Source organism: Homo sapiens, chromosome 11 (assembly GCF_000001405.40).
Source record: "Homo sapiens chromosome 11, GRCh38.p14 Primary Assembly".
Taxonomy (NCBI): domain Eukaryota; kingdom Metazoa; phylum Chordata; class Mammalia; order Primates; family Hominidae; genus Homo; species Homo sapiens.
In genome coordinates, this window is record NC_000011.10 from 27,055,272 (window position 1) to 27,082,031 (window position 26,760).

The window sequence follows — 26,760 nt, forward strand, 5'->3', positions numbered from 1 at the left end:
CGCAGACTCTGACAGCTGAGTGAATAGCAGAGGCCAGAGTCCACTTGAAGTGTTCACACTCTCAGAGGCCAAGTTTAGATCTTATCTGCCTGAGATTCCTTTTAACACTGATTTGTCATAGCAGGTAGCTGACAGCATCTACTCCTGAAGACCGGAAACATGGCTTGTACCATCCAAAAGGCAGAAGCACTTGACGGGGCTCATTTGATGCAGATCCTCTGGTATGATGAGGAAGAGTCTCTCTACCCAGCTGTATGGTTGAGAGACAACTGTCCGTGCTCTGATTGCTACCTGGATTCTGCAAAAGCACGGAAACTTCTAGTGGAAGCTCTTGATGTGAACATTGGAATTAAAGGCTTGATATTTGACAGAAAAAAGGTAATTATCTCTAAATTATGTCTCCCTTCTTTCTCAAGTTCAATAATGGGGCTAGTCAACAATAATTTAGATAACTCTTTTTTATTTGGTCACGCATATATAACCGCATATGAACCCACGTTTGTATAGTACTTGGTGCGAATTAAGTATATTCAGTAAATGGAAGCTTCAGCTATTATTATTACTATTATCATTACTACTACTATTTTTAATAAAATTTGCAGTGTTACTTGTCTTTTAGTCAAATTAGTATGTAGAGATACAAGGCTTGTTCTGGGATTCCCAAAAGCACAGCTCTCAAAACTACAAACCAGAGGCAGCCACCATTCCATGTTTCTCTCTTCCAAATTTACTAGGATTCTTATTATGCTCTTGTCCACATCCCGACTTGAGGACTTTACTCCCAGATTTCACTGCTTGCTAGCTAGATAGAAATGTTGTTTACTCTTACATTTCTCACCTGAAAAAAATGAGAATAATAGTAGTACCTTCCCCCTAGAGTTGTAAAGATTAAATGTGTTATGTCTATAGTACTTGTTATGGATACTCAAAATAGTGTTATTTTTATTATTGCTGTTGTACTCCTTATCATCACTACTATTACTTACTTTTATTTATTTATTTTTGAGATGGAATCTTGCTCTGTTGCCCAGGCTGGAATGCAGTGGGGCGATCTCAGCTCACTGCAACTTCCGCCTCCCGGGTTCAAGCAATTCTCCTGCCTCAGCCTCCCAAGTAGCTGGAATTACAGGTATGGGCCACCATGCCCGGCTAATTTTTGTATTTTTAGTAAAGACGGGGTTTCACCATGTTAACCAGGCTGGTCTCAAACTCCTGACCTTGTGATCTGCCTGCCTCGGCCTCCCAAAGTGCTGGGATTACAGGCATAAGCCACCACACCCAGCTGCACCATTACTATTTCTAATACTCTTGGCAGGAATCTTAATTGACAACTAGCTTCAGTTATCACAGAAAGTTTGGGGATCCCAGGTTTAGAGGATGTAGGTCAAGAACTGTAGATCTATCCATGCTCTATTTCTTGAGTGCTATTTAAGGGCCTCAGACCTCAGATGTATTACTTTGGCTTCCTTGTTTTCCAAAAGCGTATGCTTAATCTCTGTCTTAAAAATTAAGCTGGCCAGGCATGGTGGCTCACGCCTGTAATCCCAGCACTTTGGGAGGCTGAGGCGGGCGCATCACAAGGTCAGGAGATGGAGACTGTCTTAGCCAACATGGTGAAACCCCGTCTCAACTAAAATACAAAAAATTAGCCAGGCGTGGTGTCGCGTGCCTGTAATCCCAGCTACTTGGGAGGCTGAGGCAGGGGAATCGCTGGAACCCGGGAGGCAGAGGTTGCAGTGAGCCGAGATTGCGCCACTGCACTCCAGCCTGGCAACAGAGGAAGACTCCGACTTAAAAAAAAAAAAAAAAAAAAATTAAGCAAAGCATAATTGGATTCCCTGATTATCTTAAACAGCATTCAAAAACAGAGCAATAGTGGAGAACGGAAATAAAATCCACATAGGTGAAATTTGCTTTTTGTGTTATAAGGTGTACATCACATGGCCCGATGAGCATTACAGTGAATTCCAGGCTGATTGGCTGAAGAAAAGATGCTTTTCCAAGCAGGCCAGAGCAAAGCTCCAAAGAGAATTGTTTTTTCCAGGTAACTTTGCCAAAGTCTTCAATGTCTTTTTAAACCCTTACAGTAAAGGATTTTTATTAAGAAATTTGCTCACAGAAAATTCAAACCTTTGTGCTTTGATTAAAATATGTGACATGTAAATTATGTGGTGTATTTAAAGTTTTACCGACAAATATCATTTGGGTAGAGATGAAAAGGAGTATAGAGTAATTCTAGACATTCTACAGAGAAAGAAACAAAATAAGTCCAGCAAACTTGTGTCTTTGTCATCTAAAGCAAAACCTGGCACAGCATACCACAGACACTCCGTAAGTGTTCACTACAAAGAAGCAGGATGAACTAGAGGCAGACTGGCCCTTTATAACAATTTTGTCTAAGGCCAGAACAACACAAATCAACAAAGCAAGAATTCCTAACCTGGTATTCATAGATGGAATTATGGGATTGATGAACCCATGAAACGGTACGCATAGCACTGCAAATGCCAGTGAGTGTGGGACAATTTGTGTGTGTGCATGTACACACACATGCACACAAAGCCACGTTTGTCTAGGAAGAATTTATATAGGTTTCAAGGGGATCCATAAACAGAACAATGTTCAGAAAAACTGCAAGGGTGGATTCAGTGGATAAAGAGGACTTTATTGCTGAGCAAAGAAGCAAAATAAATACTTAAAACAGGTGGAAATATTTTTAAATATAAATTTTAGGAGATACACAGTAATAGAACTCAAGCAGAGGAACTGGTAAGGAGTAAGGGCTGTTTACAATTCATTCTCTGCCTATTTTGAAGATTTATTACATGAAACTATGTGAATCAAAGATAGACTGAAAAACAGTTCTTGCAAGATCTGGTCATTTAAAAGTGTGTAGCACTACCCTCTCTCTCCTGTTCCTGCTTTCCTCATGTGACCTGCCTGCTCTCCCTTCACCTTCCATCATGATTGTAAGTTCCTGAAGCCTCTCCAGAAGTTGAGCAGATGTCAGTGCCATGCTTCCTGTATAGCCTGCAAAACCATGAGCCAATTTAACTTCTTTTCTTTATAAATTACCCAGTCTCAGGTATTTCCTTATAATGATGCAAGAACAAACTAATACAGAAAATTGGTCCTGAGAAGTGAGGCATTGCTATAAAGATACCTAAAATTTAGAAGCAGCTTTGGAACTGGGTAACAGGCAAATGTTGGAAGAGTTTGGAGAGCTCAGAAGAAGACAGGGTAAGTTTGGAACTTTGTAGAGACTGGTTAGATGGTTGTGACCAAAATGCTGATGGTGATATGGACAGTGAATGCCTGGCTGATGAGTTATCAGATGGAAATGAGGATCTTATTGGGAAGTGAAGCAAAGGTCACATATGCTATGCCTTAGCAAAAGAGCTTGGCTGGATTGTATCCATGCCCTAGGGATATGTGGAAGTTTGAAATTGAGAGTGATGACCTACGGTATCTAGTGAAATAAATTTCTAAGCAGCAAAGTAAGTGTTTAAGAAGTAACATGACTGCTTCTAACAGCCTATGATCAGATACAAGAGCAAACAAATAAGTTGGAACTTTAAAAGGAAAGCAGAGTGTAAAAGTTTGAAAATTTTGTAACCTATTCATGTCTAGGCAGAGAAAGAAAAAGCTTTTTTGGGAGAGGAAGTCAAGCAGACTGTGGATCAACCACTTATTAGAGATATTTGTATATAAGAAGAAGCCAGTGCTAATAGCCAAGACAACAAGAAAAAGCCTTCGAAGGCATTTCATAGACCTGCACAGCAGCCTCTCCCATCACAGACCCAGAGGCCTAGGAAGGAAGAATGCTTTCCTGGGCCAAGGGCTCCACTGCCCTGTGTGTAGCCTCGGGAGGCAGCTCCCACATCCCAGCTGCTCCCACTCCAGCCTCGGCTCCAAGGGGCCCAGGTACAGGTTGGGCCATAGTTCCAGAGGGCATAAGCTACTGTAAGACTTGGTGGCTTCCATGTGGCTTTAAGCCTGTGGCCGCACACAGTGCAAGAATGAATGAGGCTTGATGTTCGCTGTCTAGATTTCAGAGGATGTATTATGTTGGTGCAAAAGTAATTGCGGTTTTTGCCATTAAAAGTAATAGTAAATATAAGAAAGCCTGGGTGCCCAAGCAGAAGCCTGCTGCAGGGGCAGAGCCCTCACAAAGAACCCTAGGGAAATGCAGAGGAAAATGAGTTGGAGGCCCCACTTAGAGTCCTCACTGGGGCACTACCTAATGGAGCTGTGGGAAGAAAGCCACTGTCCTGCAGACTCCATAATGGTAGATCCACCGCCAGCATGCATACTCAGCATGGAAAAGCCACAGGCACTCAACGACCTGTGACAGCAGCCTCTGGAGCCGAACTTTGCAAAGCCATAGGGGCAGAGCTGCCCAAGGCATTGGGAACCCATCCCTTGTACCATTGTGTCCTGGAGGCAAGACATGGAGTCAAAGGAGATAATTTTGGAGCCTTAAGATTTAGTGACTGCCCTGCTGGGTTTTGGACTTGCATGGGCCCTGTACTCCCCTTTCTTTTGGTTGATTTCTCCCTTTTGTAATGAGAATGATTACCCAATGCTTATAACCCCATTATATCTTGGAAGTACATAAATTGTCTTTAATTTCACAGGCTTATGGGTGGCAGAGACTTACCCTGTCTTAGATGAAACTTTAAACTTCAGACTTTTGAGTTAATGCTAGAATGAGTTAAGACTTTCAGGGACTACTGGGAAGGCATGACTGTATTTTGCAATGTGAGAAGTACATGAGATTTGGGGGGCGAGGAGCAAAATGATATGGTTTGCATGTTCCACCCAAATCTCATGTTGAACTGTAATCTCCAATGTTGGAGGTGGGGCCTCGTGGGAGGTGACTGGATCACAAGGGATGATTTCTCATGAATTGTTTAGCACCATCCTGTTGGTACTATCCTCACAATAGCAAATGAGTTCTTTGAAGATCTGGTTGTTTTAAGGTGTGTAGCAACACCTCCCTTATCTGTTTCTCCTGCTTTTGCTATGTGATCTGCCTGCTCCCCCTTTCAGCTTCCATCATGATTTTAAGTCTCCTGAAGCCTCCCCAAAAGCCAAGCAGATGTCAGCACCATGCTTCCTATAAAGCCTGTAGAACAGTGATCCAATTAAATCCCTTTTCTTTATGAATTACACAGTCTCAGGTATTTATTTATAGCAATGCAAGAACAGGCTAATATACCAGCCTTGTTGAGTTTTGTAACACCTCTCCTGGAAATTCTTAGCCACATACCAAGAGAGAGATTTTACCTTAACTCCTTTCAAATCTGAAATTCTTAAACATGTGTGGTAACTCTCCGTGGCTTTAAATGAGACTTATGACACTTTACTAGGTATGAAGATGTTACTAATCAACTTGAACCAAATAGGTTCACCATTTCTTCTGGTTATCAATAATAGAGCATGATACTGTCCCCTTTCTCTTTAAGCATAGACCAGCCATGTCAAGAATTTGGTTCCTCCATTTCTTTAGTCTCACCATTCTGATGGCTGACAAGGTTTTGTCCTAGTGCTTTCTCTCTAAACTACCAGTTCATTTTTCCCTGTATCTAGCTGGTTAAATCCAGATGGGTATCCAGGGAAAGATGTTTTTATTGCCTTCCTCCAATGAGTGCATTGCTAAATTCTTCAAGGAGTCTCCAATTACATAATTTAGTACCGATTGTCTGGGTCACATCGCAGTGTCACAAATGTATTTTTTTAAATTTATTTTAGACTTCTTCTGGTACTCAAAATATTTTTCCTTAACTCTGCTCTAATTTTATAATCCTATTGGATTTTACTTTCATTTCCTTCAAGTTCTCCTTTTGATTTTTTCAGGAAATACATGCCAACTTTTTATTATTACAGCTTAAGCTTTTAAGCATTGTAAAAGGATATGGACATCCTCCTCCATTAATATTTCTTGATGAGTGCAGTTTTATAGCTTACATTTTTCAGTACTATCGGGCAGTAGCAAAATGGAAATGATACTACACTCAATTAAGTAGTGGAAAAAACTGGTCACAATGACAGGCTGCAATCATGAATAATATAAGAACTGGCTGCTATTTAGACACTGGAAAATATTTTAATAGTTTAAAACAAGATCAGATTTTTAAAATACATTCTCAAGCTGTGCAGTTGGTGGGTAAAAAAAAGAAATTAATGAGCCATTTTTGGAATATTGGTTCTATGGCTTTTTGCCTGTAGAATTTGATACCTTATTTCATTGCCATTGCAGATTTTCAAACATTTATATTCCAGAGCATGCAAACAAACTCAGTTACATTTGTGAAAGGATTTTGTTTTTTAGTCCCAGTAGTAATGTTTTCTCTTCTGCAAGCATAACCCTTGGAGTGAGGGTTACAGAGCTTTTAAAATCTGGAATCAAGATGCAGACAATTTTTCCTTGATCTTCCCCCTGGCACTCGCTGTTGAACTCAAAAATGACAAGACAAATGATCATCATCCAAAAAACTTTTATCATGGGACACAGTCATAGCTGAAAGGAAGACACGGATAATTATCACTCCCTCATAAATTTCTATTCAGTTGCACATATATTGGGTATCTATTTTGTGCCAGGACCTCTGTAAGGAAATATCAAGATTTTTTTAAAAGACATAGATTCTCTCCTTGAGGACTTATCAAGTCTGAAAGGGAACAATAGCCATGAGAAAATAAGTATAAGACATTACTTGAAGTACATTAAAACCACACATAGAAAGTTAATGATGACACAGAAGAAGGAACTTGAAGGGATGAAGGAATGATCCTCAGAAATGAGGTAATACTTGAGTTGCACTTTGGAGAATCAATCAGTTTGTCAGGCAAAGATAGATAGAAAGTAAGGAAATTCTCAACAAAGAAAAAGGCAGGCAGAAAATCATCAAAGGGTAAAATAGTAGGATAGGTTTGGAAAACTGCAATTAGTTTAATATTGGTGAAGTTAAAATTGTTAGGCAACAGAGAAGAAGGAAGGGGCCAAACCATGAAGTGGCTTATATGCCCTGCTTGGTCCTAAACCTGCAGGCGATTAAGAGTTTTCCCAACAAGGGCTCAGATATGCCATCCCCTTAGCTTCTCCATACTGATGCTCTTCTTTTAAAGCCAGAGAAATGAGTTTAAGATCTTTATAAGTTTAAGAAGATGATTGCTTTCATTTTTTCATCTGTATTTTACATTTTCCGAGTTGTGTCTTTCTGATTTTAATCAAATGAACATAACTTCTCAAATGCCTACAAGTTTGTACATGTCTCCTAGGCTTTCTTTTTCTTTTTTTTTTGAGACGGAGTCTTCCTCTGTCACCAGGCTAGAGTGCAGTGGAGCGATCTCGGCTCACTGCAACCTCTGCCCCCGGGTTCAAGTGATTCTCCTGCCTCAGCCTCCCGAGTAGCTACAGGTGCTACAAGGACTACCGGCATCACACCCAGCTAATTTTTGTATTTTTAGTAGAGATGGGGTTTCACCATGTTGGCCAGGATGGTCTTGATCTCTTGACCTCATGATCCGCCCACCTTGGCCTCCCAAAGTGCTGGGATTGCAGGCGTGAGCCACCGCGCCTGGCGGGCTTTCTTTTTTTCTTCTTGCATTCTCCCTTCCTCCACAGTGCACCTGCTTGGCTCTTGGCTTATATTTACCCCACAAAAGAGAGTGAAGTAATCACATCTGTGTTGTAGAAGGGCCTTGATCGTGGCTCTGAGTTTGGATGGACCAGCATAGGGAGTGACTGGGGTCAGGGTAACCGTAGCATGACCTAGAAATAGTCCTGTAAAAGACAAAGAAATTTTGAGAGGCAGGGAGGATGGAGGAGGGTGTAGAATCTGTATTCAAAAGGAACATATATGACCTGTAGGACAGCAAGTTGCCGGCCATATTCTCTAGTCTCTCTCAACTGAAATCCTAACACTTGAAGCTCAGCAGTACATGTTTCCAAACATATGGGTGAAAATGGAAGACTTTAAATCATATTAGAGACAAGGTTTTTATGTACTAATTATAATTTAGCTCTCGTGAAATTTTGGCATAATTATATGCTCATTTTTGTCACTAACTTTGAGATGCAACATTCCCAACATATAACTGGCAGGACCAAAATGGAAAAAAAAATCACTATATAGTATGATATACATATGAAGCTAAATATTTGTTCTTTTTATTAATCCTCAATATCAGAATGATAGATGCTTGATTATCTCTCTGAATTGGTACTGAAGTATTTTTGTATTAATCTCTAACTTTAATAATATTTTTTATAGAATATTGAGATTTAAAAAGCTATAACTTGAAGAAAATATTTTATTTCCATGGAGACAGGCTGCTCAGTTTTCTCAGCAATCCAGGGATGGAGTACATTGCACAGTCAAAAAAAAAAAAAAAGAATATTTCCCCACAATTCTTTATGCCTCTCTCATGGCAGTCTTTACCATCTACTAAATCAGATTATAGCCCTTCAGTCTATAGCTATAACGCACTCCTTTGTTTCAAAAGTAGCATTCCATAAGAGGAAGTGAAAACTCACAAATAACTGTTAGGACCCTCTAAAATCTATTCGTCTTGTACATGGCAAGAAAAAGTAGAGAGTTCTTCCTTTCTTGCAGAGAACCATATATTTACTTGAAGATGGAGACTTTATGACAGTGCAAAAACCAGATTTGGTTTGGTGCAGAGGCCATTTTTACAAAGCATTGTCATAAAGCAAAAATCTTGTGTGTTTTTCTTAATTCAATTAATGTACAAAAGAAATATGCCTCGCCCATGTGATATTTTGCCCCCATCTCTAAGCCTTGCTACATCCATTCTTGAATTCTCAGAGGTGGGAGCCTGCAATGCAAATCAGGGATGGGGTAAGTGTATTGTTTCACTATTGTTTGGTAATTATAAAAAGAACTAGCAAGACTTGGTGGGTTGTTGTTTTTTTTCAAGCTGCGTTAGGATGTCCCAACAGTATCAGGGCTGCCAGGTCAGAATGGCTTCCAAACAGCCCTGTCAAAACAGCTGCCTTAGAGCAATTAAGCCACCACATCATCTTCCGAAATGCATTCCATTCCCAAGAGAGACTAATAAAGATTCCTTCCCTAAAGTCACCCAAACTCATAACTCAGATACACAGGTGGGAGAATAGCTCACTGGATTTATATGTTTAAGAAGCATGTCTTTGTTCTGTTTTGCCTGTCATATGCAAAATGGACCTACTGACTTGCAGAGAAATATCTCTAGGTTTTCTGTGAAATGAATATAGCTATCTCAAATGCATGTGACTTTATTATAACTGTCTGAGGGGTTCTTCCTGCCTGCTGCTCAAAGAAAGACCATGGTTTTACAGTAAAAAAGGAGTTTAATAGACATGAGGCCAGCCATGCCATGGGGGAGATGGAGTTAGTCCTCAAATCAATCTATCCAACGCTCATAGGTTAGGAGTTTTTCAAAGGCATTCTGGGAAAGGAGTGGCAGCGACTAGGCTTGCTGCTGATTTGTTTGGGCAGAGATGAAATCATAGGGGGTCAAAGCCATCCTCCTGTGGGCTAAATCATTTCTGAGTGGGGCCACAGGGGCAGGATTGGTGGGTCTAGGTAGACCCATGGGGTCCAGTGGAGCCATAGGTGTCAGACATGAAAAAAAAAAACAACAAAAAAAACATCTCAAAGGCCCATATACAATAGTGGTGTTACCTGCAGGAATGGCTGACAATCTGTTTCTATGCCTTAGCAGAATCAGGCTCCTCTCTTTCCCCTAACCTGATGGTCTTTCATTAGTTTTGCAAAGGCCATTGAGTTCTTGGGGAAGGCCTATTCCCATTTAAAACTATAAATTAAATATCTCTCAAAGACAGCTTAGCCTAAGCCCAGGAATGATTAAGGGAAAGGCAAGATGGAGGAGGTGGGTTAGATCAGATCTCTTTCATTGCCATAATTTTCTCACTGGTATAATTCTTGCAAAGGGACCTATTGACTTTCAGAGAAATATCTTTGGGGTTTTGATTAAGTGAATACAGCTATCTCAAATGCATGTCAATTTATGAATGTGTACCTTGCTTCATTTTTCCTCTGTGCCATATTGATGTCTTTCAATGTGTCCTATTCTTTTCTGAATTATATGTAATCTATTATTCTCATTTTCTGCACTGCACTTGGTAAAATCAGGCATAACATCTAAAGAGTCTAACGTACCTATGCAAGATGGGGCTGCCCTTGTTCTGACTGTAAACCTACCAGGGGAGACTCAGAACCTGGGAAGCACACTGCAGTGCCCTGTGCTTTTCTCAGGTGCCACTAATCTGCAGGTTGCTCCCGCAAAATCTGCCTAATTTTGGGCTTCATTTGTAAGCTCCAGATAAACTTATCTTCCTCTTTCCTTTTCTAAACTCCATCCATACTTCCAGCTAGAAAACACATACCACATGTTCAGATATAAATATTAAAAATAAGTCTATTTTACTAGATGTATTGATGTATTAAATAAAATTTTTTAAAAGCCTGTATACTACTACATCTATTACTTTTTAAATGCTTGAGTAAGAGGTATATTAATTATATTCTTCTTCAAAAATTATTTTCTCATTACTTAACAACTTCATAAGACAATGTTAGTGCTAGACGGGACCTTGAAAAGCTGGTATCTTAAAATATTTAAAAAGCCTTGGCAAAGTTTGAGGATATCTTTGAGAACCTAAAGCAAATATATTTCCAGAAATAATTATTACAGTCCATTCCCTTTTTATACCTTTTTAGTTTAGTTGCCACATTGAGAATTAAGGAAAATATTCTAATGTTTTTGCTCTTGGAAAAATAATTTTTTGTAGTTATATTAAAGTAAAGTTATTACTTTTTAAACAAGGAAAACAAAATAGAATGGGCTTTCCTTAGTGAATGACGAGCTCCATTTCTACAAGCTAGGCTTTTTTGTGTTTTTGTGTGTGTGGTTTTTTGGTTTTTGTTTTGTTTTGTTTTGTTTTGTTGCAGCCCAGGAATAAGTTTTATAACATTGGCAGTTGGGCTACAAGTTTAGAACTTATACATTTAGAAAATTCCAAAGTGTTCCAATTTCCAAAAGTAAAGTTGGAATACTTTCTACACTGGCTTCAGGTTTACCAAATGTACACATAAGGGATAAATTTGTCCTGCCAATTTTGCTAGTGCCTATATATCAGCAGATTCGCCAGACAATAAAAAAGGGGACAATTGATTCAAAAACCATTACCTCTCACTTCTGGTTCCACTTTGCTTCAAAATGGCAGAACATAGAATTACACAGCGTTAGGTTTGGAGTTGCAGTTATCTTCAGCACACTTAAATTTCTTCTTTTAGATTTTAGAACCAAACTTCCAAATGTGCCCATCCATGGAATACATGGAATAGCTCTGGGCTATCCCTTCAGGGGAAAAAAAAAAAAAAAAAGAAAAAAAACCATTTTAAGAATTTGTTGATGTTTACGTTCATACATACTATTGATTTGCCAATTTTAAGAATTTGTTGATGTTTACATTCATACATACTATTGATTTGCCTAATTTCTGGCTTAGCAAATTAAATAAAAATGTTTAAGTTCTACTCTATCCAAAAATCATCTCCTTTTTCTTTCTTTTTTTCTTAAAATTTTATATTTTTCTCAATCAGTAACTTTGTTATTAATCAATAAGAAAGTAGGGCACTGAAATTAAGAGGGTTTTTGGCCCTAGGCCTTGCTAAGTCTGTGATTTTGAGCAACTTACTTAACCTTTCTATGCTTCAATATCCTTATCTGCACAACAGATATAATAATAGTATATACTTAACTTCTCAAGCAGTGCAATGTTGGGTGAAGGGTAGTGTTGCACCATACATATCAACTCATTATTTTTTTCAAAAGATTTCCTTGAAAGTGGTTGTAAGTAATTATAGACAGCAACTCTGAGAGTTTTCTTTTTTGTTTGTTTTAAAATAGGTTTATTTCTTTTTTTAATTTTATTTCAATAGCTTTTGGAGAGTGTTTTTTTATTACATAAATGAATAGCACAGTGGTGGAGTCTGAGGTTTTAGCGCACCCGTCACCCAAGTAGTGTACGTTGTAACGAATATGTCATTTTTTATTTCTTACCTCTTCTCACGCTCCCACTTCTGAGTCTCCAAAGTCCATTATACCACCACTCTGCTTGCTTTTGCATACCCATAGTTGAGCTCCGGGCCAGGCGCGGTGGCTCACATCTGTAATCCCAGGATTTTGGGAGGCCAAGGCAGGTGGATCACCTGAGGTCAGGAGTTTGAGCCTGACCAATATGGTGAAACCCCATTTCTACTAAAAATACAGAAATTAGCCAGGCGTGGTGGCATGCGACTGTAGTCCCAGGTACTCTGGAGGCTGAGACAGGAGAATTGCTTGAACCCCGAGGCTGAGACAGGAGAATTGCTTGAACCCAGGAAGTGGAAGTTGCACTGAGCCGAGATCGCGCCACTGCACTCCAGCCTGTACGACAGAGCGAGACTCCATCTCAAAAATAAAATAAAATAAAAATTTTTAAAAAACATAGTTGAGCTCCTGCTTGCAAGTGAGGACATACAGTATTTGGTTTTCCATTTCTGAGTTACTTCATTTAGAATAAAGGCCTCCAGCTTCATTCAAGTTGCTGCAAAAGACATTATTTTATTCTTTTTATGGTTGAGTAGTATTCCATGGTGTGTATATACCATATTTTCTTTATCCATTCATTAGTCGATGGGCACTTAGATTGGTCCCATAACTTTGCAATTGTGAATTGTGCTGTAATAAGCATACATTTTCAGGTGTCTTTTTTACATGACTTTTTTCCTTTGGGGTAGATACCCAGTAGTGGGATTCCTGGATTGAATAGTAGTTCTACTTTTAATTCTTTAAGAAATCTCCATACTCTTTTCCATAAAGATTGTCCTAATTTACATTCCTACCCACAGTGAACGCTTCCCTTTTCACCACATCCATGCAAATATCTGTTGTTTTTTGACTTTTTAATAATAGCCATTCTGGTGAGGGCAAAATGGCATCTCATGGTGGTTTTAATTTCCATTTCCCTGATGACTAGTGATGCTGAGCATTTTTTCATGTTTGTTGGCCATTTGTACATCTTCTTTTGAGAAATGTCCATTCATGTCATCTGCCCACGTTTTGATGGGGTTGTTTTTTTCTTGCTGATTTGTTTGAGTTCCTTGTAGATTCTGGATATTAGTCCTTTGTTGGGATGGATAGTTTGCAAATATTTTCTCCCTTTCTGTGGGTTGTTTACTCTGGTAATTTTTTTTTCTTTTTTGCTATACAGAGCTTTTTAGTTTAATAAGTCCCCATTTATTTATGTATTTTTGTTTGCTACATTTGCTTTTGGGGTGTTAGTCATAAATTCTTTGCATAGGCCAATGTCCAGAAGAGTTTTTCCTAGGTTATCCTCTAGAATTTTTATTATTTCAGATCTTCAATTTAAGTCTTTAATCCATCTTGAGTTGATTTTTTATAAGGTATGAGATAGGGACCCAGTTACATTCTTCTATATGTCGCTATTCAGTTTTTCCAGCACCATTTATTAAATAAGGTATCTTTTCCCCAATTTATAGTTTTGTATGTTTTGTCAAAGATCCATTGGTTGCAGATATTTAGCTTTATTTCTGTGTTCTCTATTCTGTTCCATTGTTCTATGTGTTTACTTTTATATAGTACCATGCTGTTTTGGTAACTATAGCATTATAGTAAAATTTGAAATCAGTTCAGATGATGCATTCAGATTTGCTCTTTTTTTTTAGGATTGCTTTGGCTATTTGGGCTCTTTTTTATTTTTTTGGTTCCATATGAATTTTGGGATTTTTTTTTCTAATTCTGGGAAGAATAATGTTGATATTTTGATAGGCATTGGCTTGAATCTGTAGATTGCTTTGGGCAATGTGGTCATTCTTAAAATATTGAGTCTTCTAATTCATGAGCATGGGATGTGTTTCCATTTGTTTGTGTCACGTATGATTTCTTTCAGCAATGTTTTGTAGTTCTCCTTAGAGAGATCTTTCATCTCCCTGGTTAAAAATATTCCTGGATTTTGTTTTGCAGCTATTGTAAAAAGGACTGAGTTCATGGTTTGATTTTCAGTTTGGTTATTGTTGGTATAGTAGTGCTACTGATTTGTGTACATTAATTTTGTAACCTGAGACTTCACTGAATTTGCTTATGAAATCTAGAAGTCTTTTGGAGGAGCCTTTAGGGTTTTGTAGGTATACTATTTTATCATCGGTGAACAGTGATAATTTGACTTCCTCTTTTCCAATTTGGTTGCCCTTTTTTCTTTCTCTTGTCCAATTACCCAAGCTATGACTTGCAGTACTATGTTGAATAGAACTGGTGAAAGCGGGCATCCTTAACTTGTTCCAGTTCTCAGGAACTGGAACTTTTAATTTTTAACCTTTTAACTTTTAATTTTTGCTTTTAACTTTTAAGTTATGCCTTTAACTTTTCTCCATTCAGTATGATGTTGGCTGATGGTTTGTTATATATGGCCTTTATTCACCTCCTAGCATTTTGAGGTACGTTCCTTCAATGCCTAGTTCATTAGTGGGGGTTACCTAAAGGGATGCTGAATTTTATCAAATGCTTTTTCTGCATCTGTTGAACTTTTGTTTTTAATTCTGTTTATGTGATGTATAGTAGTCAACATCTGCATCACAGAGGTTTTCATAACTTGTGTCAATAATATCATTCATTTCAAAGAATTTTTAAATTTCCATCTTGATTTCATTATTAACCCCAAAATCATTTAAGAGAAGATTGTTTAATTTCCATGGGTTTGTATTGTTTTCAGGGTTCCTTTTGGAGTTAATTTCCAGTTTTATTCCACTGTGTTCTGAGAGGGTACTTGATATAATTTTGATTTTCTTAAATTTATTGAGAAATGTTTTGTGAACTATTATATGGTCTGTCTTGGAAAACCTTCCATGTGTTAGTAAGAATGTGTGTTCTGCAGTTATTGGGTAGAATGTTCTATAAATATCAGGTCCATTTGTTACAGAGTGTAGTTTAAGTCCATTGTTGCTTTGTTGACTTTCTGTCTCAGTGATCTGTTTAGTGCTGTCAGTGGGGTATCGAAGTTCCCCACTATTATTATGTTGCTGTCTGTCTTACTTCTTAGGTCTAACAGTAATTGTTTTATAAATTTGGGAGCTCCAGAGTTAGAGGCATATATATTTAGGATTGTAATATCTTCTTGTTGGATTGATTCTTTCATCATTGTATAATGACCCTCTTTCTTTTTTGTTTTTAATATAGTTGCTTTAAAGTCTGTTTAATCTGATATAAAAATAGCTACTTCTGCTCGCTTTTGGTTTCTATTTGCATGGAGTATCTTTTCCCACTTCTTTACCTTGAATTTGTATGAATCCTTATGTGTTAGGTGAGTCTCTTGAAGACAGAAGATATTTGGTTTGTGATTGATTTTTTTTTTTTTTTTTTTTGGTCCATTCTGCCAATCTGTATCTTAAGTGGAGCATTTAGGCCGTTTACATTCAATGTTCATGTCGAGATGTGAGATACTTTCTCCGTCATCATGTTGATTGTTACCTACTTTATTTTCTCATTGTATTACTGTTTTATAGGCCTGTGAGTTTTACGCTTTCAAGAGATTCTATTCTGGTGCACATCAACCTTTTGTTTCAAGTTTTAGAACTCCTAGCATTCTTGCAGGGCTTGTCTAGTAGTAACAAATTGCCTCAGCATTTGCTTGTCTGAAAATGACTTTATTTCTCCTTCATTTATGGAACTTAGTTTTGCAGGATACAAAATTCTTGCCTGACAATTATTCTCTTTAAAGAGACTAAAGAGGTCAGGTGCGGTGGCTCATGCCTATAATCCCAGCACTTTAGGAGGCAAAGGAGGGCAGATCACAAGGTCAGGAAATCAAGACCATCCTGGCTAACACAGTGAAACCCCATCTCTACTAAAACAAAAAAAATGCAAAAAATTAGCCAGGCATGGTGGCAGGCACCTGTAGTCCCAGCTACTAGGGAGGCTGAGGCAGGAGAATGGCATGAACCTGGGAGGCAGAGCTTGCAGTGAGCCAAGATTGTACCACTGCACTCTAGCCTGGGCAACAGAGCAAGACTCCATCTCAAAAAAAAAAAAAGGGGGCTAAAGATAGGATCCCAATCCCTTTGGGCTTGTAAGGTGATATTGTTTGGCTCTGCGTCCTCACCCAAATCTCATGTCAAATTGTAATCCACACGTGTGAGGAGAGGCCTGGTGGGAGGCGATTGAATCATGGGGGCTGACTTCCCCCTTGCTGTTCCCATGATAGTGAATGAGTTCTCATAAGATCTATGGTTTAAAAGTGTGTGGCACCAACAAAAAAAAGAGAATTTTAGACCAATATCCCTGATGAACATCGATGCAAAAATCCTCAATAAAATACTGGCAAACCAAATCCAGCAGCACATCAAAAAGCTTATCCACCATGATCAAGTGGGCTTCATCCCTGGGATGCAAGCCTGGTTCAACATACAAAAATCAATAAGCATAATCCAGCATATAAACAGAACCAAAGACAAAAACCACATGATTATCTCAATAGATGCAGAAAAGGCCTTTGACAAAATTCAACAGCCCTTCATGCTAAAAACTCTCAATAAATTAGGTATTGATGGGACATATCTCAAAATAATAAGAGCTATTTATGACAAACCCACAGCCAATATCATACTGAATGGGCAAAAACTGGAAACATTCCCTTTGAAAACTGGTCACAAGACAAGGATGCCCTTTCTCACTACTCCTATTCAACATAGTGTTGGAAGTTCTGGCCAGGGCATCGGTCAAGAGAAAGAAATAAAGGGTATTCAATTAGGAAAAGAGGAAGTCAAATTGTCCCTGTTTGCAGATGACATGATTGTATATTTAGAAAACCCCATCATCTCAGCCCAAAATCTCCTTAAGCTGATAGGCAACTTTAGCAAAATCTCAGGATACAAAATCAATGTGCAAAAATCATAAGCATTCTTATACACTAATAACAGACAAAGAGAGAGCCAAATCATGAGTGAACTCCCATTCACAATTGCTTCAAAGAGAATAAAATACCTAGGAATCCAACTTACAGGGGACGTGAAGGACCTCTTCAAGGAGAACTACAAACCACTGCTCAACGAAATAAAAGAGGACACAAAGAAATGGAAGAACATTTCATGCTCATGGACAGGAAGAATCAATATCGTGAAAATGGCCATGCTGCCCAAGGTAATTTATAGATTCAATGCCATCCCCATCAAGCTACCAATGACTTCGTCACAGAATTGGAAAAAACTACTTTAAAGTTTATATGGAAACAAAAAAGAGCCCACATTGCCAAGTCAATCCTAAGCCAAAAGAACAAAGTGGCAGGCATCAAGCTACCTGATTTCAAACTATACTACAAGGCTACAGTAACCAAAACAGCATGGTACTGGTACCCAAACAGAGAAATAGACCAATGGAACAGAACAGAGACCTCAGAAATAATACCACACATCTACAACCATCTGATCTTTGACAAACCTGACAAAAATAAGAAATGGGGAAAGGATTCCCTATTCAATAAATGGTGCTGGGAAAACTGGCTAGCCATATGCTGAAACTGTATCTCTTCCTTACACTTTATACAAAAATTAATTCAAGACGGATTAAAGACTTAAATGTTAGACCTAAAACCATATAAACCCTAGAAGAAAACCTAGGCAATACCATTCAGGACATAGGCATGGGCAAGGACGTCATGTCTAAAACACCAAAAGCAATGGCAACAAAAGCCAAAATTGACAAATAGGATCTAATTAAACTAAAGAGCTTCTGCACAGCAAAAGAAACTACCATCAGAGTGAACAGGCAACCTACAGAATGGGAGAAAATTTTTGCAATCTACTCATCTGACAAAGGGCTAATATCCAGAATCTACAATGAACTCAAACAAATTTACAAGAAAAAAGCAAACAACCCCCTCAAAAAGTGGGTGAAGGATATGAACAGACACTTCTCAAGAAGACATTTATGCAGCCAACAGTCACATGAAAAATACTCATCATCACTGGCCATCAGAGAAATGCAAATCAAAACCACAATGAGATACCATCTCACACCAGTTAGAATGGCGATCATTAAAAAGTCAGGAAACAACAGGTGCTGGAGAGGATGTAGAGAAACAGGAACACTTTTACACTGTTGGTGGGACTGTAAACTAGTTCAATCATTGTGGAAGACAGTGTGGCAATTCCTCAGGGATCTAGAACTAGAAATACCATTTGACCCAGCCATCCCATTACTGGGTATATACCCAAAGGATTATAAATCATGCTGCTATAAAGATAAATGCACACGTATGTTTATTGCGGCACTATTCACAATAGCAAATACTTGGAACCAACCCAAATGTCCATCAATGATAGACTGGATTAAGAAAATGTGGCACATATACACCATGGAATACTATGCAGCCATAAAAAAGGATGAATTCATGTCATTTTTAGGAACATGGATGCAGCTGGAAACCATCATTCTCAGCAAACTATCACAAGGACAAAAAACCAAACACTTGCATGTTCTCACTCATAGGTGGGAACTGAACAATGAGAACACTTGGACACAGGAAGGGAAACATCACACACTGGGGCCTGTTGTGGGGTGGGGGTAAGGGGGAGGGATAGCATTAGGAGATATACCTAATGTAAATGACGAGTTAATGGGTGCAGCACACCAACATGGCACATATATACATGTGTAACAAACCTGCATGTTGTGCACATGTACCCTAGAACTTAAAGTATAATATAAAAAAAAGTGTGTGGCACTTCCCCCATTGCTCTTTCTCTCCTGACACCATGTGAAAAAGATGCTTGCTTCCCCTTCACCTTCCACCATGACTGTAACTTTCCTGAGGCCTCCCAGTCATGCTTCCTATAAGCCTGTGGAACTGTGAATCAATTAAACCCGCTTTCCTTCATAAATCACCCTGTCTGAGGTAGTTCTTTATAGCAGTGTGAGAATGCACTAATACAGAAAATTGGTACTGGGGGTGGGGCACTGTTATAAAGAAACCTAAAAATGTGGAAATGACTTTGGAAACAAGCAGAAGTTGGAACAGTCTGGAGGGCTCAGGAGAAGACAGGAAGATGTGGGAAAGTTTGGAACTTCCTAGAGGCTTGTTGAATGGTTTTAACCAAAATGCTGATAGTGATATGGACAATGAAGTCCAGGCTGAGGTAGTCTCAGATGGAGATGGGAAATTTACTGGGAACTGGAGTAAAGGTCACTCTTCAGCAAGAAGAAAGGCAGCATTTTGCCCCTGCCCTAGAGATCTGTGTAACTTTGAAATTGAGAAAGATGATTTAGGGTATCTGGCAGAAGAAATTTCTAAGCAGCAAAGCATTCAAGATGTGACCTGGCTGTTTATAAAAGTCTATACTCATATGTGTGAACAAAGAGATTAGCTAAAACTGATAGTTACATTTAAAAGGGAAGAAGAGCATAAAAAGTTTGAAAACTTTGCAGTCATGAAATCTTAGCACTTTAAAATGATCTCCTTTGACTCCATATCTCCCATTCAGGCCACAAGAGGTGGACTCCCAAGGTCTTGGGCAGCTCTGCCTCTGTGGGTCTGCAGGGTATAGCCCCTGTAGCTGCTTTCACAGGCTGGCATTGAGTGTCTGTGGCTTTTCTAGGTACATGGTGCAAGCTGTCAGCGGATCTACCATTCTGGGGTCCGGAGGACGTGGCTAATGTGGTACCTTGGGGATGTTATAGAACCCTGTTTTTTTATACTTGCCAGAATTATTTTTCTGTTTCCTTCTCATTTGGATAGACTATTTCTTTTAATTATTGTTGACTTCTTTTTATTTGACTGTTTTATTTCTTTTTTCCCCTGAAGGATGTGACTTTAATGTTTATAGTTTATTGCAGCCTTATTCAGCTCTTGGTGCTTTCAGGGGTGAAGACTCTGTAAGAGTTTCTCATTATAGTCTTTGTATGATGACTTTCTCAGATGCTGGCTGTAGTAATGATGTGCTTGGTGTATGACTAAGTTCACTGTCTCTTATGAGGTTGGAATAGCAGAGGTCTCTTTAAGCTTATCTCATTCCCCAATGGTATGCACATTTTTGTTTATTTTTCCCCAGTAGGAGAGGTATCCCTGCATAGAAACCAGCTGTGGCTGAAGCAGATGGGTAAATGCAACACCCAATCATCGGCAGAGGTCCCAATCTTGACAGAGGTGGCTGGGGGAGCTCTCAGTGAAATGCACTGAGATCTTACCAGGGGGAAGGATGGCCTCTCCCTTGCCAGGCCAGCAGGAAAGCAATCCACCTCCCAGTCACACTCCTGACCCAGTGCTACAGCTATTCAAATCAGACAGGCATCTCTTTTCATCTGCAGGAATGAAATTCCAAGTAGAGTTGAATATTTGATATTCCAAGTAGAGACGAATTGTGACTCTACCCCTCAGGCAAGCCTGAACCCAGAGGGCACTCCTCTTGTGGGGATCCAGTCACCCTGAAGTGTTCCAGAAAGGCTGCCTATAGGTGCACTCATGCTGAACTCCTATGGGAGAAGCCCTAGCTGTGTCTGCAGTGATTGGCAGGAGGGAAAAGAATTCCTCTTCTCCAGGACCCTTTGTGAGCACAAGGGCTGCCTGACAGTTGGGGCAGAGCTGCAGACTTTCCCCACTGAGCCCAGCACTGTATCTGTGCCTCTACTGAAAGACACTTCCCACCAGCAGAAAGTTCTGGGACTCAAGGCCTGCCATCCAGACTTGTTTATCTCCCAAGGTGTTCTCTTAATGTGGTACATTCACTCTCCGCCTAGGAGTAGGATTTTCTGAGAACCAGACTACTGTGAATGCTGCTGCTCCTCTGGGTCTAGCCACCTAGTGGGGCTGCCACACTCCAGGTTGGTGCTGGGAAATGTCTGCAAGGGATCCAGTGATGTGATCTGTCCTCTAGTCTCCTAGCAGCAGATACCAGCACTAGCTCTGGTGGAGATGTCAGGGGAGTGACGTAGACCCTATAAAGTTCCTTGGTTATAAATAACCTTAGTGTGTTGGCTTTCTCAAATGCTGGCTGAAGAAGTAATGAACTGGTCACTTGGGCAGACTCAGGACCTCCTGGTTAGCCATGGTGCTGCAGGCAACGGTGATAGCTGAGGTAACACACACATTTTCTCCTTCTTGAGCACTGTGTTATTCTACCTGCAGATGCTGTAATGGACTGTGTCAGTTGGCCTCCAGCCAGGAGGTGGTACTTGCAAAAGAGCACCAGCTGTGTTAGTAGCAGTGGGATTTGTGCTTGCTTTGTTACCTAGGGGAGGTATTCTGTATTCTCAGACAATGAGTGGGGCCATAAAGCTCCCAAAACTTTCTGTCCATTGTGTTAAGTTACCAGAGTGGGTGGAGGGACAAAGCCAGGTAGGGGCTGGGTCAGACAGGGCCGCACTCTGGCTCTCCACATGCAGGGCAAGCAGCAGTTTTTGTGAAATTGGAGGGCAGTTCTCTTGCCACTAGGGTAATGTTCCAGAGAGAAGCACAGCTGTCTCTGCTGCACTGAAGAGTTTGTGCAGAAAGTGGGGAGTAGCAGGTGGCAATAAGCCCCACTCAGCTCCCATTCACTTGGCAAGGCAGGTCTCAGACTTGCAGTGCTCTCCACTAGCAGCAGCTAGCTAAGTCCTAAGCAGTCTATGTTCAGAACTCCCCAGAAGACAGCTACCATGACTTTCAGATCTCACCCCTTCCAGTCCACCCACAAAGCCAGAACACCCAGCTCCTGCACCTGTGGCAGCAGCACATTTCCCACCCACCCTTAAGTTCTGGCCAAGGGTGTTTGTCTGCACTTGAGATTATATCCCGAATTTCAGTTGGGAGCCTCTCTCAACCTGTGACTGCCACCTGTGTTAGCTGACAGACTTCTGTCAGGTACCCTGTGAAGTAGGACCAAAAATGGCTTCCCTCCATCCATGCTGGAGACTGGGAATGCACAAAAGTCTTCCCACTGCTGCTCCTACTTTTATATTCCCTACCACTCCCTAAATCAGCTCCAGTGCCGGGTAGGATTAAGGCCTTTCCCCATCGGCTGCATTGCCAGGTTCCCCAGTGGAAGGGTATATCCCAGAGGCAGTTTATCTGCCCTCGCACTCTGGGGACTTACAGTTTTCCACCTGGCTTACAGTGAAGACTACAGCCTGCCACTTCTTTCAAAGGGCCTGTGGTTTCTTTCAGTTTTCCTATTAAGTTCCTGTGTTGCTTCTTGGAAAAAAGTTCACAGTGTGAATCTCTACACACTATTTCGTCTTTCCAAAAGGGAGAGGCATACTAACAATGTCTCCAATCCACCATCTAAAAAAAAAAAAAAAAAACCAAAAAAACAGTTTTCTTGACCCTCTTGAATAGAATATTTGTTCTTGAAAAATGTAGAATATTATTATTAAAATTGCTTTCTCATTGTCTCCCATTGGCTTTCGATTTTATTGCATATTTGCTATTTGTACAGAGATGACTTATATTTAAGTTAGGCTTATGGAGGGAAAGATTATATAGATTGTCTCTCTTGCCAACAGCTTAGTTGGAGCCTTTTATCATCCCATGTCTGTATTACTGACATAACATGGCCTCTCTGTCCATACCCAGCATGCACAATTCTAAGGGCAATCCCCCTGAGGCTCACAATCATCTCTCGTTCCCCTTGCTCATGTGTCTCATTGCCTACAGAATAAAATTCTTCACTGGGGCTTTCCAATCCTCCCACAATCTGGTACCCCCTCCACGAGCATGTGGACTTCTTTTATTGTCCAAGTTCTGCTTGCCTCCTGCATGACTTATTCTTCTCTTTCTGACTGCTCAAACTTTACCTAGCCATTCTACAAGATTTACTCACATCCTAATGAAGACCTTCATCAATTATTCCACCCTATATTTATGTTTATCCCTAAACCAAGCCACAAATATCAATAGGAAAGAAAGTAAGCCTAGGAAATAGGCATCACTTCACTGGTAACATTGAAACAGCAAGTCTTTCATATACAAATGAAAACATACACATTTTTCTTTTCTTTTTTTTAATTATACTTTAAGTTTTGAGGTACATGTGCACAACGTGCAGTTTTGTTACAATGTATACATGTACCATAGTGGTTTGCTGCACCCATCAACCCATCACCTACATTAGGTATTTCTCCTAATGCTATCCTTCCCCTATCCCCCCACCATGGAATACTATGCAGCCATAAAAAAGGATGAGTTCATGTCCTTTGCAGGGACATGGATGAAGCTGGAAACCATCATTCTCAGCAAACTATCACAAGAACAGAAAATCAAACACCACATGTTCTCAATCATAAGTGGGAGTTGAACAAGAAGAACACGTGGACACAGGGAGAGGAACATCACACACATACACATTTTTCAAAAAGAATTTTGTTAGAATTTGTTAGAAGAGAAGGTAAAAGAGTGCACTATATCAAGAAAGTGCTTCACTCATGAAATAACATGGTGTTAACAGAAAGAGCATACACTTTGGAGTCAGAAGAGCTGGTTTTGACCTTTTTCTGTGAACTTGACTTAGTTTCATAAATGACCTGAGCCTCACTTTTTCCATATTTAAAAGAGGCGATGCCTATTAGCCTTGGGAGATGAAGAATAAGTGATAAACTGTAAGTACTTAGCACAGTGTCTGGCACACTGTGGATGCTCAAAACTTGTTAGATCCTTTCTGTCTCCCCTTTTTCTTCTAGTTAAAGCGCCATAAACATAAGAGCAAAGGCACGTTAAAGAACATTTGCGAAAAAGACAGGAGAGAAGAAAAGTGCCTTATAATATCTTATGTTTGAGCTCCCCTTACATGAAGAACAATCATGTTCTATTCCTGATTAAGCACATGAGAGTATCTCAAAGGTGGACAATTGCCATGAAAAAAACTTTAGTCTTACATTGGTTTGATTTCTAGCAAAAATTTACCGACCTGGTAGATAGTTTCACTTCAATAGAATTAAAGAAGGCAGTGAAGACTGGTCAATTATGAACCTAATTCCAATCAAGAATATAGAAATGTTTGGTGAAGCTGGAATGACCAGAAAACTTGGAAGAAAGTGATCCTGTGTTATCTATTAGTTAGTTAAGAATAGCTACAGATGAAAATACCAGCAATCATAGGCTACATTATATGTCACATATGTGCTAGATACTTGAAAAAGAAAAATTCCAAACTGAAAATTGGTACAATCTCATCATCATAGAAGAGCAGATCTCAATAGGGAATATAAAGGAAAAATATCTAAAGAAAACAATATGCCCATGTAATGAGGAATCACAGTCTTTAAGCTCAAACTTCAGTAAGGCATAATAGGAGATTCTAGCCCAGAATAAATTGATGAATCAAGATATATGATGGGCAATGATAGAGGGGATTATTGAAGTTATTTACTTGAAACAATAAGGAAAAAAATGAGGAAAACCAAAGGAAAAATTAACCGTTGCTGGGAGCAGATGTTCTAAGATTAATTCTGCTCCACATACAGCATTTTCCATCTCAACTGATGATGGCAACTCCATCTCTCCAGTAGCAGGCTTACCCTTGACTACTGTTTGTCTCTCATGATACTCATCCAACTTATTAGAAAGTTATATTTGCTCTATCATCAAAATAAATCAGAATCCAACCATATCTTGCTGCTTCTACTGTTAACCCGCTGTCCGCACTACCAACATCATATGCCCTTCTTCTTCCTCCTATAGCTTATTTCCTATTCCCATCCTGCTCTTTCTTTTTAAAAAATGCTTTAAAATCATTTTCCATATGGCAGCAACTGAGCTCAGCACTTAATATTTACTGCACTGTTTAATCCTAGCAATAACTCCCAGGCAGCATTATTATTGTAACCATTTTATACACAAAAATTAGGCTGATAGAAATAAATAACTAGTTTGTAATCAAAGAGACATGAAGTATCAGAGCCAAAGTTTGATTTAAGGGTATCTGAACTATTAAATGCCTTCTATTTTCCTCCTCTTCTATGTGCTCACAGCAATTTGTATGGGTCCTCTCTCTGTCACTACCATTACTACACTGAATGGTCATTTTCTATAGTATTTGACTCTCTTTCACACTAGACAGTTAAAATCTAGAGAAAGAACTAATATTAGTAATATATGTCATTATTGGGCACTTTCCATGGATTGTTCATTTATTCATTCATCATACTCAATGAGTGTCTGCTACGTACTAGGCACTATTCTAGGTACTGGGGAACCAGTGGTGAACAAAATAAGAGAAAAATCCTGCCCCTTAGCAGTTTACATTTTGGTAGAGAAAGAGACAAATAAATGTACAAATATACCTATAATACATCAAGTAATGATAAGGACACAGACTCAGGCAGGTTGATGGATGTGGTGGTAGCACTGTATGGAAATTCTCTTCTGAGTCCTTCTGTCTTTTCACTGAAGTAAGAATCAAAGTCACCAGAAGAGCATAAATATGAGGATGAAGTGTGGAAGATTTGAGGATAGAAAACATAAGAAACAGTCAGATAGGAACATGTAAGTTAGAGTTAACTAGAGATTACAATAAAATCAGTCATCCTCATGTGTTTTCCTCCACATTTAGCTGCTTTGGTTCAAGTGAAGATTTAACCAGACAGCAGGCACACGATGTTAAATTCTTGATAGATATTATCTCATTCAAATTTTACAGCTCCGTAGGTTGTTCTCATCCTATATTTTCCAGATAAGGAAACTGAACTTAGAGAATTTCTCACTTTCCAAAGGTCATGCAGATAGGAAATGTTGGAACTAGGATTTGAATCCAGATTTTTCACCTTCAAACCTTGAGTTGTTAAATTTGACAAAGGATCATATCAGATGTAGCCTTTATTCTCATCTCTATATGTGCTTAGTAAGTTCTTTTTCAATGAACTAGCTTCAGAAATAAAGTACATGAATCCAGGAGACAAATACTTGGCTAAAAGGCAATTCTTACATGTTCTGGCAGGCTGAAAAGTTAGTATGAGTCATCAGAGTGACAACATGCAGTATTTGGTTTTCTGTTCTTGTGATAGATTGCTGAGAATGATGGTTTCCAGCTTCATCCATGTCCCTGCAATGGACATGAACTCATCCTTTTTTATGGCTGCATAGTATTCTATAGTGCATATGTGCCACATTTTCTTTATCCAGTCTATTATTGATGGACATTTGGGTGGGTTCCAAGTCTTTGCTATTGTGAATAGTGCCACAATAAACATACGTGTGCATGTGTCTTTATAGTAGAGTGATTTATAATCCCTTGGGTATATACATAGTAATGGGATTGCTGGATCAAATGGTATTTCTGGTTCTAGATTCTTGAGGAATCACCACACTGTCTTCCACAATGGTTGAACTAATTTACACTCCCACCAACAATGTAAAAGCATTCTGATTTCTCCACATCCTCTCTAGCATCTGTTGTTTCCTGACTTTTTAATGATCGCCATTCTAACTGGCGTGAGATAGTATTTCATTGTGGTTTTGATTTGCATTTCACTAATGACCAGTGATGATGAGCATTTTTTCATATGTCTGTTGGCTGCATACATGTCTTCCTTTGAGAAGTGTCTGTTCATATCCTTTGCCCACTTTTTGATGGGGTTGTTTGTTTTTTTCTTGTAAATTTGTTGAAGTTCTTTGTAGATTCTGGATATTAGCCCTTTTTCGGATGGATAGATTGCAAAAATTTTCTCCCATTCTGTAGGTTGCCTGTTCACTCTGATGATAGTTTC

General features: G+C 39.3%; 1 protein-coding gene and 1 long non-coding RNA gene across 12 annotated transcripts in view; one reads left to right on the forward strand and one right to left on the reverse strand.

Moving 5' to 3' along the window:
• BBOX1 (gamma-butyrobetaine hydroxylase 1) overlaps window positions 1-26,760 on the forward strand; it is an 86,995-nt gene that overhangs the window by 14,457 nt on the left and 45,778 nt on the right. For 6 of the 9 annotated variants that reach the window (NM_001376260.1, XM_047427692.1, XM_011520402.2 and 3 more), the window contains 2 exons: window positions 125-378; window positions 1,930-2,044. In NM_001376260.1, the coding sequence (NP_001363189.1) occupies window positions 160-378; window positions 1,930-2,044 (334 nt within the window). In that variant the 5' untranslated portion in view covers window positions 125-159. Of the gene's footprint in view, window positions 1-97; window positions 379-1,929; window positions 2,045-26,760 lie in introns of those variants that run through there. The other 3 variants (NM_003986.3, NM_001376258.1, XM_047427691.1) reach the window with 2 other exon arrangements.
• The window catches only part of BBOX1-AS1 (BBOX1 antisense RNA 1), a 172,928-nt gene that overhangs the window by 8,086 nt on the left and 138,082 nt on the right, over window positions 1-26,760 (reverse strand). For 2 of the 3 annotated variants that reach the window (NR_125767.1, NR_125766.1), the window contains exons 4-5: window positions 11,221-11,391; window positions 7,712-7,789 (exon numbers count right to left, since the gene is read on the reverse strand). The exons of the other annotated variant lie outside the window; for it this stretch is intronic. This is a non-coding gene — a long non-coding RNA (BBOX1 antisense RNA 1). Of the gene's footprint in view, window positions 1-7,711; window positions 7,790-11,220; window positions 11,392-26,760 lie in introns of those variants that run through there. 3 annotated transcript variants of the gene reach the window in all.